Source organism: Homo sapiens, chromosome 11 (genome assembly GCF_000001405.40).
Source record: "Homo sapiens chromosome 11, GRCh38.p14 Primary Assembly".
NCBI lineage: Eukaryota > Metazoa > Chordata > Mammalia > Primates > Hominidae > Homo > Homo sapiens.
Window position 1 is genome coordinate 83,045,253 of NC_000011.10, and position 21,979 is coordinate 83,067,231.

The following is a 21,979-nucleotide window of genomic DNA, read 5'->3' on the forward strand; positions in this document are numbered from 1 at the left end:
CTCCCAAGCAACTGAAACTACAGGCATCCACAACTGTGCCCATATATATATTTTTTTTCCTAGAGATAAGATCTTGCCATCTTGCCCAAGCTGGTCTCGAACTCCTGAGCTAAAACGACCCTCCTGCCTTGACCTCCCAAAGTGCTAGCATTACAGGCATGAGCTACCACACCCAGCTCTGTAAACATTTATTGAACAAATTGTATATGCCAAGCCCAGAGTAGGAAAACACAGATTAAAAGGGCATACCCACTGCCCACCAGGAGGTCGCAAATGAATGGAGAAGCACAATCCAAGCACTTAGTCAAACTGCAATAAACAGCCTTGCCACGGTTAAGCACTTGAGCCTAGATCCTGACTCTACCACTTATTGGCTTGGTGGCTTTGGACAAAATTGACTTAACCTGTACAAGTTTTGTCTCCTCAGCTGTAAAATGGGTATGGTAAACCTATTACATTGAGTTACTGTCAGAACTGAGATTACGTATATGACTATACATATTATAGTAACTTTAGGTAAATGTTGGCTATAATTATTAATCTTTGTTATTATCTGAGTGGTTACACTAGGTATCTAAAATCCACCCTGAGATTCTAATAATTAGCTGTGTGACCCAGAGTAAGTAATTTAAAATCTCTGGGTTTCATGCTCTTCATTTGTTAAATGAGAGGTTATAGCTAAGTGATCCTAAAATCTCTTCAAGCTCTGGAATATTAAAAGGCTCTATGATTGATCTTACATGGTTTCATATATGTCTCAATGACACTGCTCAGATAAACTGGTGAAACAAAGCAACTGCCAAATAAATCACCTTTCTTCAGTAGTTGTCTGAATCTTTCATTTTACTTCCTTTAACCTCATTACTTACCCAGGCATATATGGGATATACTAAGCTGACTGAGAGCTAAGGCTTTGTTGTACCAAATTGTGCATCCTTAATCCCAAACACCGTCCTGGAAAGTGATAGGCACCCAGTGTCTTAAAATTAAGATTCATACTTCCCTCGGGACCAAAGCTATACATATGCAAGGTGAGTGGACACTCTGAGGTGTAGGCCTGACCTCTAGGGATCCTTTTCTAAGTGTCACCACTTAGAAAAAGGGCTGGAGAGGTATTCCACCCTTTGGCCTTCAGTTTCCTCATTGGTAAAATGAAGGGAATCTATTAGATCAGGGGTTGGCAAACTATGGCTCATAGGCCAAATCCAGCCTATATCTCTACCCCCAGCTTAGAATAATTTTTACTTTTTTTTTTTTAAGAGACAGGGTCTCACTCTATTGCCCAGGCTTCAGTGCAGTGGCGTGATCATAGCTCACTGCATCCCTGAACTCCTGGGTTCAAGCCATCTCCCCACCTTAGTCTCCTGAGTAGCTACAACTACAGGTGTGTACCACCATACCCAGCTAATTTATTTTTATTTTGTAGAGACAGGGGTCTCACTTTGTTGCCCAAGCTGGTCTCGAACTCCTGGCGTCAAGTGAACCTCCCCACTTGGCCTGCCAAAGTGCTGGGATTACAGCTGTGAGTCACAGCACCCAGACAATTTTTACATTTTTTAATGATTGCAAAAACAAAGAACAATATGCATCAGAGATCATATGTGGCCCCCAAAGCCTAATATATTTACTTTCTGGACCTTTTAATAGAAACAGCTTGCTGCCTCTGGATTAGATTATCTCTAAAGTCCCTTTAAACCCTGACATTTTAACATTCTAATTCTGCTGGGTTTCCTTGAATTGTGTGATTCCGGCTCTTCACGCAGAGCAGTACCAAGTCTGAAACAATACCAAAGGCACAACAGGAACTCAACTACAATTTGCTAACTGCATAAATGAATTCTGCAGCAGCAACCCTAAGAACTAAATCCTCTACCAAGGGGGCAAGTTGGGTCAATGTGTATCCAGTGACTGCCTAATAAATGCCCCCAGGGTGGACGCCACAATGAGAGGAACAATCTACTCTTATTGGCCTTTTGGATGACGGTGGCACCTGGAAAGGCCTGGAGCTCAGATAACCAGGATTAAAACTCACCTTGTTCCACCAAATAAAAAAATACATGTAGCCATCCCCTGAACAAACCCCTTGGGCAAATTATAAAGCTATCTAGAAAGAGCTATCAGAAACACAGATCATCTAAACTGATCATCTTAATAGCCATGGACCCAAGAGAATAAATTCCATCCACAATAAGGCATATAGAATAATTTAGCTCACAACATTATTTCTTTTTCCCTCTATTGTTGTTAAAAATACACGATACCAAAACAAGGAATTCAAATATTTATGTCAGGGCAACAAGCCAAGGAAAGTCTTGAGTATATGATCCTATTAACAATAATAGAAGATAGAGCAAGGTAAAAGAAAAAATAAAGCTCCCTGCCTCGACTCTTGACCACACATACTTTCCCAAAATAAACAGCCAGCAATTATTCTTTTAATGTTCCTCCTCTGTTCACCCATAAATCACTGCTATGTATAAACCTCTTGCTGATTCAAAGGATTTTTTTTTTCTTTCAGTCTTCCTCTTTTTGATTGCTAACAATGAGTTCTGAAAAGGGCTGAGAGTGCTTTTCCACCATCCCTCAGTAGAGCATCTCCATTTACAAGTACAATACACTCCAACCACACACTTCATTGTCATACTGTTACGTATAAATCACAAAGTTGATCTAGAGATTCTGCCTTTTCTCCTTTCCTCTAAAGAAGCAACTTGGGGCTGGGCATGCTGGCTCATACCTGTAATCCCAACACTTTGGGAGATAAGAGGATGGCTTGAGGCCAGGAGTTTGAGATTGGCCTTAGCAACATAGCAAGACCCTGTCTCTACAAAAAATAAAACGATGCTCACTTCTCTCCACAAGGCCCCGTATGCCCAGTAATGACATGGAGTCACAAATCTCACCTTCTCCCCAGGCACCCTGCTCTAGATATGCTGGCCTAGAAGGTTTAAAAAGAAAAAAAATCCCACCTCTAATCCCAGCACTTAGAGGCTGAGGTAGGAGGATCGCTGAAGACCAGGAGTTCGAGACCAGCCTGGGCAACATAGTGAAATCCTAAAAAAGTAAGAAATTAGCCAAATGTGGTGGCACATGCCTGTAGTCCCAGCTGCCCAGGAGGCTGAGGTGGGAGAATCACTTGAGCCCAGGAAGTCAAGGCTGCAGTGAGCCGTGATAACACCACTGCACTCAGCCTGGGCAACAGTGAGACACTGTCTCAAAAAAAAAAAAAAAATCCTGAATATTATAATGCTCATTTCTAAGCTCTTCATAAACCAGAAGAGAGACAGTTTAAATTTGGATTCTTTCCCCGACTCAGTAGGTAAGCTTTTTCTTTTTCCAATAGCCAGAGGAGGTAGGCAAACATTGGCCCCTCTGCTGACCTTTCTATGAACCTCAAAAAAAATCTCTTTACTTCCCAACCTTGGGGTTGTCTAGCCAATCAAAATGAGTTTAATGTTAGCCTGCATCCTTGTTTGAGAGGTAAGGAGCCTGCATTAGGTTCATGCTGTCTGAGCTCTGCGACCTCTAAGGAAAGGTCCTGTCGTGGCTGCTCGCTGATGCCAGCCCCAAACAGCCTCACCCACCGTCTCTCCAAATCCCATTGCTGTAAGCCCTGCTGCTGGGCCCCAGCATGGCCCTGAGTGGCTGTACTCCACCCTTCTTAGATGCTCTGCCCTTCTCCCTGCTGGAGCATGTGAGCTGGAGCATCCACTCAAGCTCGAAAAAGAACCACATGGTTAAAAAGAAACTTTTTAAAGTAGGTAGATAATTAATGTAAAGAGGGGCAGACTGCCTCTACAATAAGATAAGTCTGATATCGCCTTGTTTTGTAACTATAAAAGTCCTTGCAAACTATTTATTAATGTTTGCAAAAAGATGCTGGGTGTGGTGGCTCACACCTGTGATCCCAGCACTTTGGGAGGCCAAGGCAGGCGGATCATGAGGTCAAGAGATCAAGACCATCCTGGCCAACATGGTGAAACCCCCATCTCTACTAAAAATACAAAAATTAGCTTGGTGTCATGGCATGCACCTGTAGTCCCAGCTTCTCGGGAGGTTGAGGCAGGAGAATCGCTTGAACCCGGGAGGCGGAGGTTGCAGTGAGCCGAGATTAAGCCACTGCACTCCAGCCTGGCAACAAAGCGAGACTCCATATCAAAAAAAAAAAAAGGAGGCCAACATTTGCCTGGTTTTTCTGGGGGGCAGAGGCGGGGGGTGCAGGGGGCAGTTTTTGTGTTTTTTTTTTGAGACAGGGTCTCACTCTGTTGCCCAGGCTGGGGTTCAGTGGCGTGATCATAGCTCACTACAGCCTCAACCTGCGGGGCTCAAGCAATCTTCTCATTTCAGCCTCCCAAGTAGCTGGGACTACAAGGTATACGCCACCATGCCTGGTTAATTTTTTTTTTAATTCTTTGTAGAGACAGGGTCTCACTATGTTGCCCAGGCTGGAACATGTGCCTTTTGAAGGTAAAGTTCAATAGAAAATTTGAGGTGATTCAAATAGGCTTTGGAAAACACCTTGGCCTACTTATTGATTATTATCAGGCATCTTTGGAAATAACTACACATCAATTATCCAAAGAGACTATTACTCTTTTAATAGTGTACAATCATTTTAACAGTAAGAATAAGAATGGTACAACTATTCTCACTCCTCAAAGTAGAATTGGCCATTCCCCTTCCTTTTGGGGCCCACAGTACCCTATAGAGATTTTAATAATGGGGCCAAGCATGGTGGCTCATGCCTATAATCCCAGTGCTTTGGGAGGCTACAGTGGGAGGATCACTTGAGCCTAAGAGTTTGAGACCATTCTGGGCAACATAGGGAGACCTCATCTCTAACAAAAATAAAAAATTAAAATTAGCTGGGCATGGTGGTGCATGCCTGTAGCCTCAGTTACTTAGGAGGCTGAGGACTACTTGAGCCTGGGAGGTTGAGGCTGCCCTGAGACATGATTGAGCCACTGCACTCCAACCTGGGCAACAGAGCAAGACCATGTCTTAAAAAAAAAAAAGACTTTAATAATAGGACCTGAATCCCTTTATTTACTCATTTGTTTGCATGATTGTCTCTCAACACCCCGCTCCCCTTACTACCCACACTGTAAGAACCTTGAGGTTCTATAAGAGCCATCATATTCCTTCTTGAGCCCTATTGTTCAACAGACTGTCTGGCACACAACAGGTACTTCATAACAACAGGATGATGGAAAAGGAGGAGAGGGGATCGCTGAAAATGAAAAGGGGAGAGGCAGTAAGAGTTAAGAAGGCAGAAGCTGAATTTGTTTTATTCATTGTTACCTGGCCTGCAAGTATTTTTTAAATGGACTGAAAAAACTAAATGAGCAGTGGTACCAAGGCATGAAATTATAGAGCTTTGTTTTAAAGTGATGAATATGATCCTTCATCAATTCTAAAAATACTTTTTCTTACATTTTTGACTGGTTGGAAACTAGGATGCATTTTATAATGGCATCTTAGCATTTTGTGATAGTGTATTAGGAACCTCATTTTCTTTTTCTCAGTGGTACATAAAATACTTGTACATGTTAGAAATGATGGTGACATAGATTCCATGAAATGCAATCATTTGGTGTGGCTGTGGTAATAAGGGTTGGAAAGGTTGCAGTGAACCGAGATCGCATCACTGTACTGCAGCCTGGGCAACAAAGCGAGACTCTGTCTCTTAACAGCTTTTGAGTCCCTGTGTGGTTCAAACTAGCTAGGTGCTCACCAAACCTATTTTGTTTTCTTCCTGGGCAAACAGGCCTTTCTCAGTTGTTACTGGGTCACAACTAAATTATGGGGTCACAAACTAAATTATAATCAATAGATTGAGGACAGAAGTGATATAAGCCACTTTCAGACCTGGCCCATGGAATCCTTCCATGTGAGATCCTTCCATCTCCTTCTCCATCTGCAGGTTAAAAGGAGAAAGCTCTAAGAACAGAGGAGTCACAAGATGGAAGGAGCCTGGGTGCCCGAAACATTAAAGGCAGCTTAGCCAGGAATAACCATGTTGAACTGCTGTACACACAAGAAATAAACTTCATTTTTATTGAGCCACTGAAATTTGGGGGCTGGTAGGGAAGTTACCTGCTCTAAAACCTCCTGGTTCCGGCTGTACCTGTTCTTTTCATGGTTACATAAAATACCTCAGTATCCTTCCCACACATTCTCTCTTTACCCCAATTAGAGTTGGGTTGCTTCCGTCCATAACTTAAAGAGTTCTAACACAGCCAGGAAGAATGAAGAGCTATCATTTGAAGCGGCAAGAAGGTGGAAGTAAGCAACGATCCCTAAGTGTCTTGGGAACACCTAGAAAATTTGTCAGAACAGGGTAATAATTCCAACAAACTGATGACAGTCCACGAAAGACCCTTTTCACTTTCCAAGGGCTTCTAGCTTTAAACTCATAAAGCACTTACAGTTAAAAAAAAAAAACAAAAACCCTCTTCCCCACCCTCATTTCATTCTCAGAAGCATGTATGAAGTTGTAATAGCCCTGACGTATGGTTTACCTACTAAGATACCCTCAGGAGTTCTCATCTAGCAAGTGAGATACACCTTATTTATCATACATAGCCAGCTCTGCTGTCCCAGAATCTATTGGAAAATGAATCACACATAGCTCTAAGAATTCAAATAATTACTCTGGGGTAAATAGTTCTGGGTATGAGTGTACAACCCTGGCTAGAGTTTTCAAAGATAAATATTCAACAATCACCAAAGCTTCTGGTAGCATTTACAATACTATAAATGAGATTACAAAAATAAACAGGAGAATGATGCCACAAATGCCTCCTTGAGCAATAATCAGGTTTGCCAGGAACTGGAGACCAGTGATGACAGAGCAGGCCTCCTGCTCAATTTCCAGAAACATTTCTCTTTGAGCCAAATTTGGTCTTTAAGAACAAGCTCTGGCATCTGTAAAACACGCTACAGGCTTGTTATAAAGCCCATTTATACTATATATTGAGTTACGTGACTCAGAACAGCAGCATGAAGCTGGGATTGTCATCAGTCCTTCCTTTTCAGCAATAAAAACAGGCTCAAACAGATCAAGTGCTCACAGCCCCAGGATTTGTGACTTGAGCCAAGACTTAAGCTCTGATCTCCTGACCTCGGATCCTCTATCCATTTCGCTATAGCCCAAACTATGGAATACCAGGGAAGAGAAATGGCCTGGCTAGAGGAGACTTTTCCCCACTGCCATAATTCATCAACCCATGTTGGAAGCTAGTTTTCCATGTTGCATGCAGCCATGTGTGGGAACTTAACAGCAAGGGCTAAAGGGCCTGAGAGAGATGTCTGGCCTGCCTCCAAAGCCAGCTGGGAAAACATTCCCTGACAAGACACTGTGCCCACAGGGGAACACGAGAGAAGAAGGAGCCTGAGGCAGCAGATTAGAAGTGCTGAGCCTTCCATGTGATCCTGTCTTAATCTTATAGTTCAAGGCCTCTAAGAACCAGTTGACAAGGTCTCTCAGAACTGCAAAGATAGAATCTGGAGCAAATGAGCTGAAGTTTTCCTTTGTTGGGGAGGGAGAAGGGATCCACTACAAACCTAGCTGACCTCAATCAGCATTCTCTCAGATGATTTTTATGAGCCACTTCTAAAAGACAAATTGCCAAGATCAAACACTCATACATTGACTGGGAAAAGAGACAGTGAGGTGCAAGGCAATATTAATATATTAATGTTTTAGTAAAAAAACTTTCCCTGTGACTTGGTGATCTACCACCTCAGAGAGAAGACACAGGGAACTGGAGCTGTCCTTCAGTGTGTTAGAAAAGTTGAAGAGCTGGCCTCCCCTAACTATCATGAATCCCCTGGGCTCCATAGATGGAAGGGAGGCGTCTATGCCCTGCACCCTGGGTGGTTCCTCCAGAAATAGAAACTCTAGTGTTTTGAAGGAGCATGAAGTAGAGGAAGGAGCCTTAAACCACTGTTTAGTCTCCTTCCAGCTGTGACCTTAAGCAAGTCACAACCTCTTTGAGCCTCAGTTTTTGTACTTATAAAGCCAGGATAAGAACACCTACATTACAGGATTGTGGGGAGGATCAAATAAAATTATAAATGCAAAGGGCAGAGCACAGCTGCTCAATTAATGGTTAGTGCCTAACTTTTGCCCCTCAACCTCCACTTCAATTTCTTAGTATTGAAATTGTATATTTAGTAATTCTAATCCTTAGTAACTCAGCGGTACTTAGTAATTTTGAGAAAATCACATATATTACCCAGTGTCTTGGCAATTTCACTTGCTTTTTTGAAGCATAACCATCTGTGACTTTAGTTGTGAGCATCTCCAATAACTCTGGACCCTTGAGTCTCTTACTAATCTGCTCTATGCTTCCTAAATGCCTTCAAAAAAAAAAAAATCTAACCCACAGGTCCCTTTTTAACCTTATAATCTTTCTCTAATCTGGAAGAGATTCTAAACCTTATAGATATTTGACAAATTGCTGGGAACTTAACTGTCATATATGACTAAATTTTCCATAAGACTTAAAATAAAAAGTTTGCCAAAGTTTTAATGACTTTAATAAATAAGTGGCCAAGTGTTATGGTTCATGCCTGTAATCCCAGCACTTTGGGAGGCCAAGGTGAGTGGATCACTTGAGGTCAGGAGCCTGAGATCAGCATGGCCAACATGACGAAACCCCGTCTCTACTAAAAATACAAAAAGTAACCAGGAGTGATAGCATATGCCTGTAATCCCAGCTACTCAGGAGGCTGAGGCAGGAGAAACGCTTGAACCTGGGAGGCAGAGGTTGCAGTGAGCTGAGACTATTCCACTACACTCCAGCCTGGGTGACAGACAGAGGGAGACTCTGTAAATAAATAAATAAATAACATGCTTATGACCATAGGGACAACAGGAAGGATGAGGTTCTTGTGGTCTTCTTCATTATCTTCCTGGAGTCATTTCCTCTTAACATCCTCTCATCCTAGACAGGGTCAGGTGCCCCTCCTCTATGCTCCAGTAGTTATCTCTATGTACACTGCCAGCATTATGACCATACTGTATGATAATCATCTCTTTTACGTCTCTTTCTTTAGCCTACAATCTCCTTATAGTCAAAAACAGTGTGCTGTCAAATCTTGATTGCTACTACCCATGAGCACAGTATCTGGCATATAATAGATATAAAACTTGTGTTTGATGAATGAATAAATTAGGTTTTTAGATCTGGGAGAAACTTTAGAAATAACCTGGTCTAATACAGGCCTTCATTTCACAGACAAGAAAGCTGAGCCTGTCCCTGGTCATCTAGGTGGCTAGGAAAAACAACATTAACAACAACAACAAAAAAGAAAGTTGAGGCCACGCATGGTGGCACACCTCTGTAGTCCTAGTTACTGGAGAGGCCAAGGAGGAAGGATCACTTGAGCCCAAGAGTTTGAGACCAGCCTGGGCAATAGAATGAGACCCTGTGTCTACGAAAAAAAAAAATACAAAAATCAGCCAGATGTGGGGGTGTGCACCTGTAGCCCCAGCTACTCAGGAGGCTGAGGTGGGCAGACTGATTGAGCATGGGAGGTTAAGGCTGCAGTGAGTCGTGATCATGCCACTGCACTCCAGCCTGGGCAACAGAACAAGACCTTGTCTCAAAAACAAAAAAGAAAAACGAAAAGAAAGCTGAGCCTCAGAAATGTAAGGTATCCTCAGAAGCAGCAAGAAGATGGCAAGTGGTGGCGGCCAGGTGCCATTTTGACTGTAGTTCAAAAGCAGACATCACCTGGCACTCACCTGCAAGAAGAAGCGTGTGGCTTAGTGGACACAGCATGGGCTCTATAGGAAAAGTCTTGCTCCTGCCACCTACCCGTCATGTGATTTTGGACAGGTTACTTCCTCTCTCTGAGTCACAATTTCTGCATCTGCATCTGCATCTGTTAATTGGAGCTATTAATAGCTCCAAAGTTGTTAGGGTTATTAAATCTGCCACCATACATAAAGTGCCTAGCATAGCACCTGGCACTATGTAAATGTTTACTGAATGAATCATGAATGAGTACCTGTCCAGCACACCACAACTTCATGAACCTGGTTTAGACTTTGCTTTCAGGTCTCTGACCACAGCAAAGATGGCTGGGACACCCACAATTATAGAACCATGAACTTGGAGATCTGTTCCTTGCAAGGACTGGACTTTAAAGCATGTCTATAACTTTGCTCACTGTTCCCTTCCCCTGAGTTGCCCTTCTCACCTTCCTCATTGACACACAAATTTTATCCATCTTCTGCTGCGCAGCCAGATCTACCCTGTCTTGGAAGCCATTTCTAACACTTATTACTTCTCAGTCCTTCCTGTCTCACTGATCACTTTCTACCAAGTAGTAAAGGAGTGCTATGATTTGAATGGTTTGTGTCCTTTTCAAAATTCATGTTGAAATTTAATCCCCAATGCATCTGTATTTAGAGGTGGGAACTTTAGGAGGTAATTAGGCCATGAGCGCTCCATGCTTATGAAGGGATTAGCACCTTACAAAAAGGGCTTGAAGGGGTGAGTTGTCCTTCTGTGCCTTCTACCATGTGACCACACATCCTTTGGAGGATGCAGGAACAAGGCACCATCCAAAGGGCACAAGAGTAGAAAAGCAGAGAGTATCCTTCAGCAGACACCAAGCCTGCTGGCGCCTGGATCTTGGACTTTTCCAGCCTCCAGAACTGTAAGAAATAAATTTCTGTTGTTCACAAATTACTCAGTCTCAGATATTTTGCTATAGTAGCACAAATGGACTAAGACATAAGGTGTATCTGTTTGGTTTTTTAGATATACATAACATAAAATTTACCATCTTAACAATTTCTAAGTATACAGTTCAATAACATGAAGTATATTCACATTGATGTGCAGCCAATCTATAGAACTTTTTCATCTTCTAAAACTGAAACTCTACACCCACTAAACAGCTTCCCACTTCTCTCCTGCCCCCAGCTCCTGGTAACCACCATTTTACTTTATATTTCTTTGTATCTGACTACTCTAAATATCTCATATAATTGAAATCATACAAAATGTGTTTTTTTGTGACTGGCTTTTATTTCACTTAGCATAAGGTCTTCAAGGTCATCCACGTGGTGGCATGTGTCACAACTTCCTTCCTTTTTAAAGCTGAGTAATATTCCACTGTATGTAAATACCACATTTTGTTTATCCATTCAACCATCAATGGGCACTTGGGTTGCTTCCATCTTTTGGCTATGGTGAATAATGCTGCTAGGTGAACGCCTTAATCATAAAGATGTGTTTCAACCACCTCTATAGTTCTCAAGGTGCCTGACATGTGATGGGCTCTCAATAAATACTTATCAAGTAAAAAAGGACTCAGCTTTCAAGATTATAAGGTGAAAAAATGAATCATCTTCCACATAAAATTGCAAATTGTCCAGCAGAAAAATCACACAGCACAGACTCTGCAGTAAGACAGTCTTGATTTCTGGTCCTGGATCTGCCTCTTAGCTAGTCATACGATCTTAGGCATGCTACTTAAGTTTTCAGAGATTCAGTTTTCTCATGTGATTTTTGCCAAAATTAAATGATATAACATGTTAACACAGTGCTTGGCAGGTCATCAACTAAAAAAAAGTTTGCCAATATTATTATTATAAAGTTACAGAATGAAAATAACTTACTATACTTGCAAACATGCCATTTTGCTTCCTGACCATAATTTTAAAAGCAAAAAGCATGCAGAATTCTAAGACCAAACAATCTGTGGCAGGTAATAGTCAAAAAAGGACAGTTCCACAGCAGTAACAGTAAGTACAGATTTGTATCATTGAATTTGGAATCTTGAGTTATACAGCTATAGCTCCTCAGAAGGTAGAAATTTTGTCACTTCAAAGGGACAGGCTTAAATGTTACACTAAGGATCTTCTTACTCAACAAAATAGTCTGTCTGATATCTCAGAAATGTTTTAAAATCCGGATCACTTGAGGGTTTTTTTTTTTTTTAGTGCTAAATCTATTTTGAATTTAATCATTCATATTTTGAGGCTGTTAGCAAAAAGATGAAAAAATAGATTTTTATTACTATTTCAGACAGAAGTATATATTTTAATCTCTCTCAAAAGAAATTGAGCTCTCTACCCAACTTCCAATTCCTGTAGGACATGAATTCCTTTTCAGGTTGCTACCTAAATTTTCCAGGCCAGAAACATTCTTTCCAATGTTAACTCTTAGAAAGCAAAGTTCTTGAGTTTTGGAAGGAAAAGCTTATTCAAGTTTCTTTTGTCTGCCAAAACAATTAACATTTAACATGGCTAATTAAAATAGCTCTCTGCAACAAAATCAGAAACTGGGCGTTGGGTTGAGGGAGAGGAAAGGGAAGAAAAGGTAAGAGATAGTTGCCCAAATGCTAGTAGTGGCCCCAAAATGGCCCAGATGGAAAGGGACCATTACCCCTAGCTTTCCTAGGACAATCACAACTTCATATAAATTTAACACTATACTGAGATGATTTGTTAAGTGGATAACTAAATGTGATTTGATGTGTGTACTTTTAGAAACTTTGCAATTAAATGAATTTATAAATAAGAGAGAAAAGTATTCGTCAGACCATGAATTCCAATTGTGGATTCAGAACAATACTGTCACCATATGCCACAGGCCAATTTTAATTTGGCTCCCACATGATGGCTAAGAGCTACTGTCGGCTTTGCCCATCCTACAATGCCAGCCTGTACTGGGAAGCACACCAGGTGACAGGCACCACGCTGAGACCTGAGCCTTGTTTTACCCTTGCAACAAACCCTGTGCTCTAAGTATTGGCATCTCCCCTCTCACCATCTTTACCTCTTTATTTTTAATTAATTTCAGACTTACAAAAAGCTTCAAGAAAACTACTAATTACCCTTCACCCAGATTACTCAAATGCTTTACATTTTCTTTATCATTCTCCCTCTGTAATGGACATTTCTTTACCCTGAAATACTTAGTATTTCCTAGAAAACAAGGACAGTCCTTGTGTTTCCACGGTATAATTATCAAAATCAGGAAATTAACATTCATCCTATACTATTATCTAATCTCAACCCTTATTCAAACTTCACCAATTAACCAAATAATGGCCTTTATGGCAAAAAATAAAATAAAATTTCTCTAATATCCAATCCAGGATCATATGTTACATTTAGTTTTTAATGTGTCTTTAGTCACTTTTAATCTAGAACCATTCCTCAGTCTTTGTTTTTCATGACCTTTACTTTTTTGAAAAATACAGAAAAAAAATATTATGTAGAATGTTTCTCAATTTTGGTTTATCAGATATTTCCTTAGCTATTTCTGATTAGATCAGGTTCTGTATCTTTGGCAGGAATGCCACACGAGTGATACTGTGAACTTCTCAGATGTTGATTTGTCCCATCACTGGTGTAAACGTTGATCACTTAAAGTGGTGTCTGCCTTGTTTCTCCACTGTGAAGTTACTATTTTCCTTGTAACTTGTAATTTCCTTGTAACTATTTTCCTTGTAATAAGTACCTTGTGAAGAAACATTTTGAGACTAGACATCCCCTATTATAGATGAAGAACCTGAGTCTCAGAGCAGTTATGACTTGCCCAAGATCGTGTAGCATGAAAATGCCATAACACAAATTCAAACTCCAGTTTGTAGGCTCTCACACTTGGGATCTTTTTAAAGCATCCCTCTGTCTCCTGACCAGCCACCAATGGCTAAAGCAGCCTTCTCTAATGTCTTTTTGAGACAGTTTCACTCTGTCACCCAGGTTGGAGTGCAATGGCACGATCTTGGCTCACTGCAACCTCTGCCTTCCAGGCTCAAGTGATCCTCCTGCCTCAGCCTCCCAAGTAGCTGGGACTACAGGCACATGACACCATGCCTGGCTAATTTTTGTATTTTTGTAGATCTGGGATTTTGCCATGATGCCTAAACTGGTCTCAAACTCCTGGGCTCAAATGACCTGCCTGCCTTGACCTCCCAAAATGCTGGGATTACAGGTGTGAGCCACCGTGCCTGGCCTCTTTCCAGGGTTTCTGTGTGCAAAATCGAATATATTTTCTTATCCTCAATTTAGTTCACAAATATATACTGTTCTGCACCTTCCTTCTTTCTTTTAATATATCCTTGGAGATTTTTCCATATCTGTACTTAGAGAACACCCTAATTCTTGTTTGCAGTTTCATAGTTTTCCCTTGTGTATACATACCCATTTATTTAACCAGTTCCCTACTGATACACATTTAAGGTGGTTTCCAATTATTTGCTATTAGCAACAATGATGCAAGGATTGTGCTTTCTTTTTAAATTGGTTTCAGCAAGTGACATTCTGTTCATGGTCCAACAGGATGCAGTGTGGAGTAGCAGGAACCAAGTAGCAGGACCAGCTTGAGTTAATCAAAACTGGGTTTTCATCTGGCCACCTCTGCTAACTAGGTATACGACCCTGGGAAAGTTACCTGTAGTTTCTGAGCCTTCATTTACTCACTTGTAAGTGCAAAATCTCGCCTACTTTATCAGATTGCTTTTGGGGCCAAATAAATAAGATAGGCTCACAATAGCTACATTTGGGACAATTTGAATATCAGAAAGCATAAGGTTGAGGGGGAAAAAAGGCAAGAAGATTAGTAATAGATTATAACACATTGTGAGAAAAAGAAATCATGGGTCCAAGTGATATTAACAAAAAAGCGGGGGCGGGGTGGTTGGGGCCAGACACAGTGGCTCATGCCTGTAATCCCAGCACTTTGGGAGGCCGAGACGGGCAGATCGCTTGAAGTCAGGAATTCGAGACCAGCCTGACCAACATTGTGAAACCCCATCTTTACAAACATTAGCCGGACATGGTGGTACACACCTGTAATCCCAGCTACTCCGGAGGCTGAGGCAGGAGAATTGCTTGAACCCGGGAGGCGGAGGTTGCCGTGAGCCGAGATTGCGCCACTGCACTCCATCCAACCTGGGCAACAAAAGCAAAACTCTGTCTCATAAAAAAAAAAAGCAGGGCGGCAGAGGGGTTGGGGGCTGAAAGCTAATCTATCATATGATAAATACAGAAGGAAAGAGAATTAGAAAATCATCCCTTCATGAATACCAATTGACCGAGGCCAGGATTATCGATAGATGTTAAAACTTTTGAATTAAAGTTATTGAGGAACAGGATACTCAAACAATCTCAAGATATCACCTCACAGATAATTTTATTAATTACAAAGGGAAAAGGGTGCCCTTTCAATGGAGAGATCTGGCAATACCACCTCAACCAAATGATCAAACCTCATGTCACCAGTGATGTTACAAACTGACATTAGGTGTCACCTATGATGCACGGGGAGGGATAGAACATTGCAAAAAATTCTCACCACAAGTGTTTAACTTGAATCTAATAATGAGAAAACAATCAGACAAATCCAATTCACAGACAACAAACTTGGAATCTTCAAAAATTTCAATATCATAAAAGGCAAAAAAGGCAAGGGTACTGTGGTGGTTAATTTTAGGTGTCAACTTGATTAGATTAAGAAATACCTAGAAACCTAGTAAAGCATTATTTGGGGGTGTGTCTGCAAGACTGTTTCCAGAGGAGATAAGCATGTCTCAGTGGACCAGGTGTGGAAGAACCACCACCAATGTTGGTGGGCACCATTCAGTCTGCTGGGGGCCTGGAGAAAACAAAAGCAGAGAAAAGGCGAATATGTCAAGCTGTCTGCTGGAGCTGAAATACACTACACTCTTCCTCTCCTGTCCTCGGACAACAACTCCAGGCTACCTGGCCTTTGGACTCCAGGACTTAACACCAGCAGCCCCCCAGTCTCTGGGTCTTCAGCCTCAGACTGAGAGTTCCACTGTCAGCTTCCCCAGTTCCAAGGACTTTCAACTTGGACTGCACTAAGCTACCAGCATCCCAGGGTCTCCAGCTCATAGACAGCCTGTCATGGGACTTCTCAACCTCCATAATCACACGAGCCTATCGCCCTAACAAATCTCTTCCCACCTCTCTCTCTCTCTCTCTCTTTCTCCCTCTCTCTCTGTCTATCCATCCATCAATCCATCCATCCATCCTATTGGTTCTGTCTCTGGAGAACACTGACTAATACAGGTAATATGCTACATTAAAGGAAACTAAAGAACACAACTGTATTGGGTAAGTAGTCTTGATAAGATTCTGGATCAGAAAAATTTTTTAAAAGTTATAAAGGACATTGGAACGACTGAGGAAATCAGAAAAATATGATTGTTTCCATGTAATGGTATTGTGATTACATGGGAGAATGTCCTTGTTCTTAGGGGATATATGCTTAAGGGCCTAGAGACAAAGCATGGCGATATCTGCAACTTACTTTCAAGTGGTTTAGAAAAAGTATCTGTGTGTGTGCACACGTGTGTGTGTATGTGTGTAAAGACAAAAGCAAATTAATCCAGATAAAAGGTACATGGAATGTTTTTCGTTTGTTTTTTGTTTTTTTAGGTGGGATTTTTTTCTTTCTTTTCTTTTTTTTTTTTTTTTTTTTTTTAAAGATGGGGTCTTACAACGTTGCCCAGGCTGCTCTTGAATTCCTGGGCTCAAGCATTCTTCCTGTTCCTGAGTAGCTGGGACTACCAGTGTGCACCACAGTGCCTGGCTTCACTGTACTATTTTTGCAATTGCTCTAAAGGTTTGAAAGGTTTCGAATTAAGTTGGAAAAAGAATCAAATAAAACATAAACCACCTGGCACCCAGTAGATGCTATGACAGTTCACATTATGGCTCCAGTGAACAAAAGGTCTACAGAAAACTCTTCCCCCGTGCCTGAAAATAACATGAACCATATGAAAGTAAATGCCACCAGACGGTCCTGGCTTCATGAAGCTTATATTTTCAATCAGAAGGCAAGGCAAGAACAGGAAGCAGCTACAGAAACAGTATAGTTTTGGTTTCAGAAAGCCTACCTAGGGTCTATATCTGCATTTTTCAGAGTGGGAGGGGAGGGCTAGGTCATGTCGAAAAACAAAACAAGTTTACTTAACCTTACTGAAAATTGGTTCCTCATTTGTATGTAAAAAATTGAGCTAAATTCTACTGCCTAGAATTGAGATAATAAGACAGCATCCACAATACAACTTTGTAGAGCATCTTTTATTGAAGACTCTCATTAAAAGATATTAGTTTCCTACAATTAAAGTGGTGAACAAGGAAAGCACTCAGATGGTTCCACCTTTGTTTTTTTATCAGAATACCCAGCACAGGACCTTGCATTTAGCACACAAACACTGGCTGAAGAAGGAACAATTAGACAACATGAGACAGAATTCCTTTCAAAAAGTCATTCAGCCTACAAAGGCCACTGGAGTTAAAGGAAAGACTAGTATGAACTTGCTCAGTTTGAGAGTTTGAGACATGAACCCTTTGACAACAGAATATATTTATGTGCACATAAATTTGCCAAAGTCCTTTTATACACAACATCTCCTTTGAGCCCCACAATAATCCCCATTTTATAGATAAAGAAACTGAGGCTCAGCCAGGCATGGTGGCTCACACCTGTAATCCCAGCACTTTGAGAGGCTGAAGTGGGCGGATCGCCTGAGGTCAGGAGTTTGAGACCAGCCTGGCCAACAAGGCGGAACCCCATCTCTACTAAAAATACAAAAAAATTAGCCAGGCATGGTGGTGGGCACCTGTAATCCCAGCTGCTCGGTAGGCTGAGGCAAGAGAATCGCTTGAACCCAGGAGTTGGAGGTTGCAGTGAGCCAAGATTGCGCCACTGCACTCCAGCCTGGGTGACAGAGTGGGACTCCGTCTCAAAAAAAAAAAAAAAAAAGATAAGTTGTCCACGTAGCAAACAGCTCAAATTTTTTGTTTGCTTCACCCAGCCACAGTGGCTAAAGAGTGAAAATAATTCATGGCTGCGATCCTCACAATCTCTTCCCCAGGGTTCCTGTTAGGGCAAAGTGACTCACTGATGGCCACTCCTAAGCTCACACCTGCTTCTCTAAAGAAAAATGCCAAAAATCTGCCCTTTGATTGCTTCTACTGAAATTCAGAAAAATGAACACTCGGGCCTTTTAACCACCTGCTTCAGATATTTTAAAAGTGGAGCTTAAATTCTCTTTGCAATGTGGTTGCATGACTGAGATGTAGAGGAAGTGAGCAGAAGATATTTTCATTTCAAGGTTGATGACGTCCACATTTTAGTGAAGTTAACTAACCGTAACTAGAAAATAAAATTTTTCTGCAGAATTCTCTGGGGAAAACTCTTGACTGCTTTATTGTTTCAGTTCACTTTTTAAACACTGTACTGTGTTGCAGGCAGGGATAAAGTATTTCTCTCTTCCAGGGATTTCTACATTATTTACACATCAACTTTTATTACCACCATCACAAAAACCAGCAGGAACTCCGTAGTTCAATTTTTGCCCCCGTTCTGTTCACCCTTCGCAACTAGCTTCCCTTAGTAAAAGAGTTCAGCCCAAGTGGCTAATGGACTTGGCAAAGGTATGTAGAGTTAGCCCTCTCAACATTGCTGACAAGAATTTAAATCAGGGGGCAATGCTAGTGCCCTTGGACTCAGCATTTCTGCCCCCTGAAAGATATCTTACAGAAATATTCCCACAAATTCATAATAAAATGAGGTACTCAAAGGCTCACTGTAGCACAGTTCCCAACAACCATTAAAACAGGTAAGTTGGAGCAATATGCAAATACATGGGGGAAATGCCCAAAATATATTAAGTAAAAGAGAACAAGCAGAATTACATGTGCTATAATAATATTGCTAGTACACATATGGGGAAAAATGACAGAAGAATACACATCAAAATCTAACAGTTGATTATCTTTGTGGGTAGAATTAAAGAGGACTTTCCCTATACAGTCCATGTGTTTTTCTGTAATGAATTTTAATTAATCTTATGTTATTTCTTTCTTTTCTTTTTTTAAGACAAGGTCTCATGATCAGGGCTCACTGCAGCCTTGACCTCTGGGGCTTAAGGGATCCTCCTGCCTCAGCCGCACCCTTCCCCATAGCTGGGACACAGGTGTGCGCCACCACACCCAGCTAAAAAATACAAAAATATCTTCATATTTTTTGTAGAGACAGAGTTTCACCATGTTGCCCAGGCTGGTCTCAAAGTCCTGGACTCAAGCAATTCACCTGTCTCAGCCTCCCAAAGTGTTGGGATTACAAGCATAAGCCACTGCGCCCAGCCAATCTTATGTCAATTCTAGAATCAAAAAACAAATTTGAGATATATATTTAGGTACCTTTTCCCTTCGATTTGGGAACAGCTAATGTTCCTCCTGCATTGCTCCCTCTAGTAATGTCACACATAGAGTGCCAGCTGTAGAAGTTTCCAGTCACAGAATACAGGATTGTATTTAGAAAGGATATAAAACAACACTTACAATGTCCCAAAAAGTGGTATCCCAGCCCATAGGCTGATTAAATACTTGAAATGACCAGGAAAATCACTACCTCCTGAAGCAGCCCTTGATGTGTTCTAGCTTTGCTATGACATTCCTGAAGACATTCAGGAACGCCAGCTGATCATATACCAATATCTACAACGTGTCAGGTTAAACAAATGGAATCATTATCACATCCAAGAAAACTAACATTGTTACTGATTATCTAATATGTAGCTCCCATTCAAATTTCCCCGATTATCCTGAAAATGTCTTTTGTAGCTTTTTTTTTTAAGTCCAGGATCCAATCTAGGATTACATGTTCCATTTGGTTGTCATATCTCTTTAGTCTCCCTTAATATAGATTGTCGTCCCTCATACCTTCCATTTTTGTTGTCTTTCATGCGTGACATTTTTGAAGATCATAAGCCAGTTATTTTGCAGTATGTCCCACAATCTGGATTTGTCTGATTATTTATTTATGGTTAGATTTTTTTTTTCTTTTAATAGAGACAAGAGCTGGGCACAGTGGCTCACACTTTGGGAGGCTAAAATGGGAGGACCACTTGAGCCCAGGAGTTCAAGACTAGCCTGGGCAACATAGTGACAGTTTGTCTCTACAAAAAAAAAATTTAATTTAGTCAGGCATGGTGGTGCACACCTGTGGTCCCCACTGCTCAGGAGTCTGAGATGGGAGGATCCCTTGAGCCTAGGAGGTAGAGGTTGCAGTGAGCTGTGATCACACCACTGCACTCTAGCCTAGGCAACAGAGTGAGGCTCTGGAAAGAAAGAGAGAAAGGAAAGAGAGAAAAGGAAAGGAATGGAAAGGAAAGGAAAGGAGAAGACAGAGTCTCCCTATGTTGCCCAGGGTGGTCTTGAACTCCTGGGCTCAAGTAATCTTCCTGCCGTGGCCTCCCAAAGTGCTAGGATTCCAGATGTGAGCTACTATGCCCAGCCCCATGGTTAGATTTAAGTTAAGCATTTCTGGCAAAAATTCTACATCAGTGATGTTGTGTACTTCCCATTGAATCAGGTTGTGTAGTTACACTAAATTATCTTTTTCCTCATTTTGTCACTGTGGATACTAAACAAGCACCACCCAATAAATAAAATGTTTAAAAGGATAAATAATGTTAAAAACAGCTACCATGAGCACCAGCTATACCAAGCATAGTGTCAGACATTTAAAACACATGATCTCATCATGTGAACCTCCCAACAACCTTACAAAGAAACAGAGGCTCAAAGAGATTAAGTAATTTGCTCAAGGACACACGCGTATGATACAAAAATATGTGCATGTACGTATGAACTCCAGCACATAAATATGTATACGTATACAATTTAACATGATCTCAAAGGTTCATGGTCTTCCTGAGGACCTTTCAGGCATGAATTAAGAACTGCTACGTTAGGCTAATCTTGAGGAGGCCTACGTAGTTCTCAAAAGTTGGCTTCCTATAAGGAAAAAACTAAAAATAAATTAACTGTGGTCCATATTAAATTCCTCCATACTTGGAAATGCCCTTATTTGGAGATGGATCACATTTCCACCACAGCCAAGAAAATAGGGCAATGGTTCCCTAAATTATTACACTATTCTGATGTTTCATTTCTGCAACAAAATGAGAAAACCCAATGTAGAGAATTTTTCATAAAGCTAAATATATTTTCTATGAGATAAAAGTGAGGAGGCATTTTCAATTTACTACAGAAGAATAACTATTGTTCACAGTACATTCAATTTTATTTTTTGTAATTTTACTAATCTATATAATTCAAAACTCTGAGACCCATTGATTCAGGGAACTCTGTGCAATTAGAATGATTTTTTTGAGAAACTGACTTGAATAAAGGAAGTTCAGCCCAAAAAGAAACCAGATCTGAAATATTTCTGAATTTCCCTAAAAGTGATCACAAAATATCTCAAAAGCTGAAAGTGTCAAGAATACTTTTTTTTGTTTTGAGACAGAGTCTCACTCTGTGGCCCAGAGTAGAGTGCCATGGCACAATCTCGGCTCACAGCAGCTTCCGCCTCCTGGGTTGAAGTGATTCTCCTGCCTCAGCCTCCTGAGTAGCTGGGACTACAGGCATGCACCACTACACCCCCGCCTAATTTTGTATTTTTAGTAGAGACGGGGTTTCACCATGTTGGCCACGCTGGCCTTGAACTCCTGACCTCAGGTGATCCACCCACCTCAGCCACCCAAAGTGTGGGGATTACAGGCGTGAGCCACTGTGCCTGGCCTAGAATACATTTTAATGGGTCTCTTAAAAGCATTTTACATTTGGCATCTGTATTATTACTAATAGTCCTCTTCCAATGTGTTGATATTTCCTGCTTTTGAATAGGCCCTTAGTGACTTAGGTTAATTCACTCACTCTACCAACATTTAGAGTCCCTAATTTGTGTGAGGCATTCTGTTGGGTGCCTGGAAACACAGTCTGGAGCGCTTTTGCTTGCCTTCATGTCTAGGATCAAAGGTGTGGATGCCTCCCGCACCCATCACCCCTACCCCCTAGCCTAGTATTGCCAAAGTACCTCTTTGTACGTGATTATTTACGTTTGTCTCCCTCACCTGAGTGAATTCCTCCGAAGTAAACAGTATCTTATTCAATGTTGTTTTC

At 41.2% G+C, this 21,979-nt stretch overlaps 1 protein-coding gene across 3 annotated transcripts in view, besides 2 other annotated features; it reads right to left on the minus strand.

Moving 5' to 3' along the window:
• The window catches only part of RAB30 (RAB30, member RAS oncogene family), a 98,765-nt gene that overhangs the window by 72,120 nt on the left and 4,666 nt on the right, over positions 1–21,979 (minus strand). The window lies entirely within an intron of this gene.
• Positions 12–566: an enhancer, noted in NCBI's record as "OCT4-NANOG hESC enhancer chr11:82756306-82756860 (GRCh37/hg19 assembly coordinates)". NCBI's record gives its function as "activates a minimal SCP1, AML or CMV promoter by ChIP-STARR-seq in naive H9 embryonic stem cells {active_cell/tissue: H9 hESC(naive)}" and the evidence as "EXISTENCE:reporter gene assay evidence [ECO:0000049][PMID:30033119]".
• Positions 9,625–9,784: an enhancer, noted in NCBI's record as "active region_5342". NCBI's record gives its function as "activates an Ori minimal core promoter by ATAC-STARR-seq in GM12878 lymphoblastoid cells {active_cell/tissue: GM12878}" and the evidence as "EXISTENCE:reporter gene assay evidence [ECO:0000049][PMID:35858748]".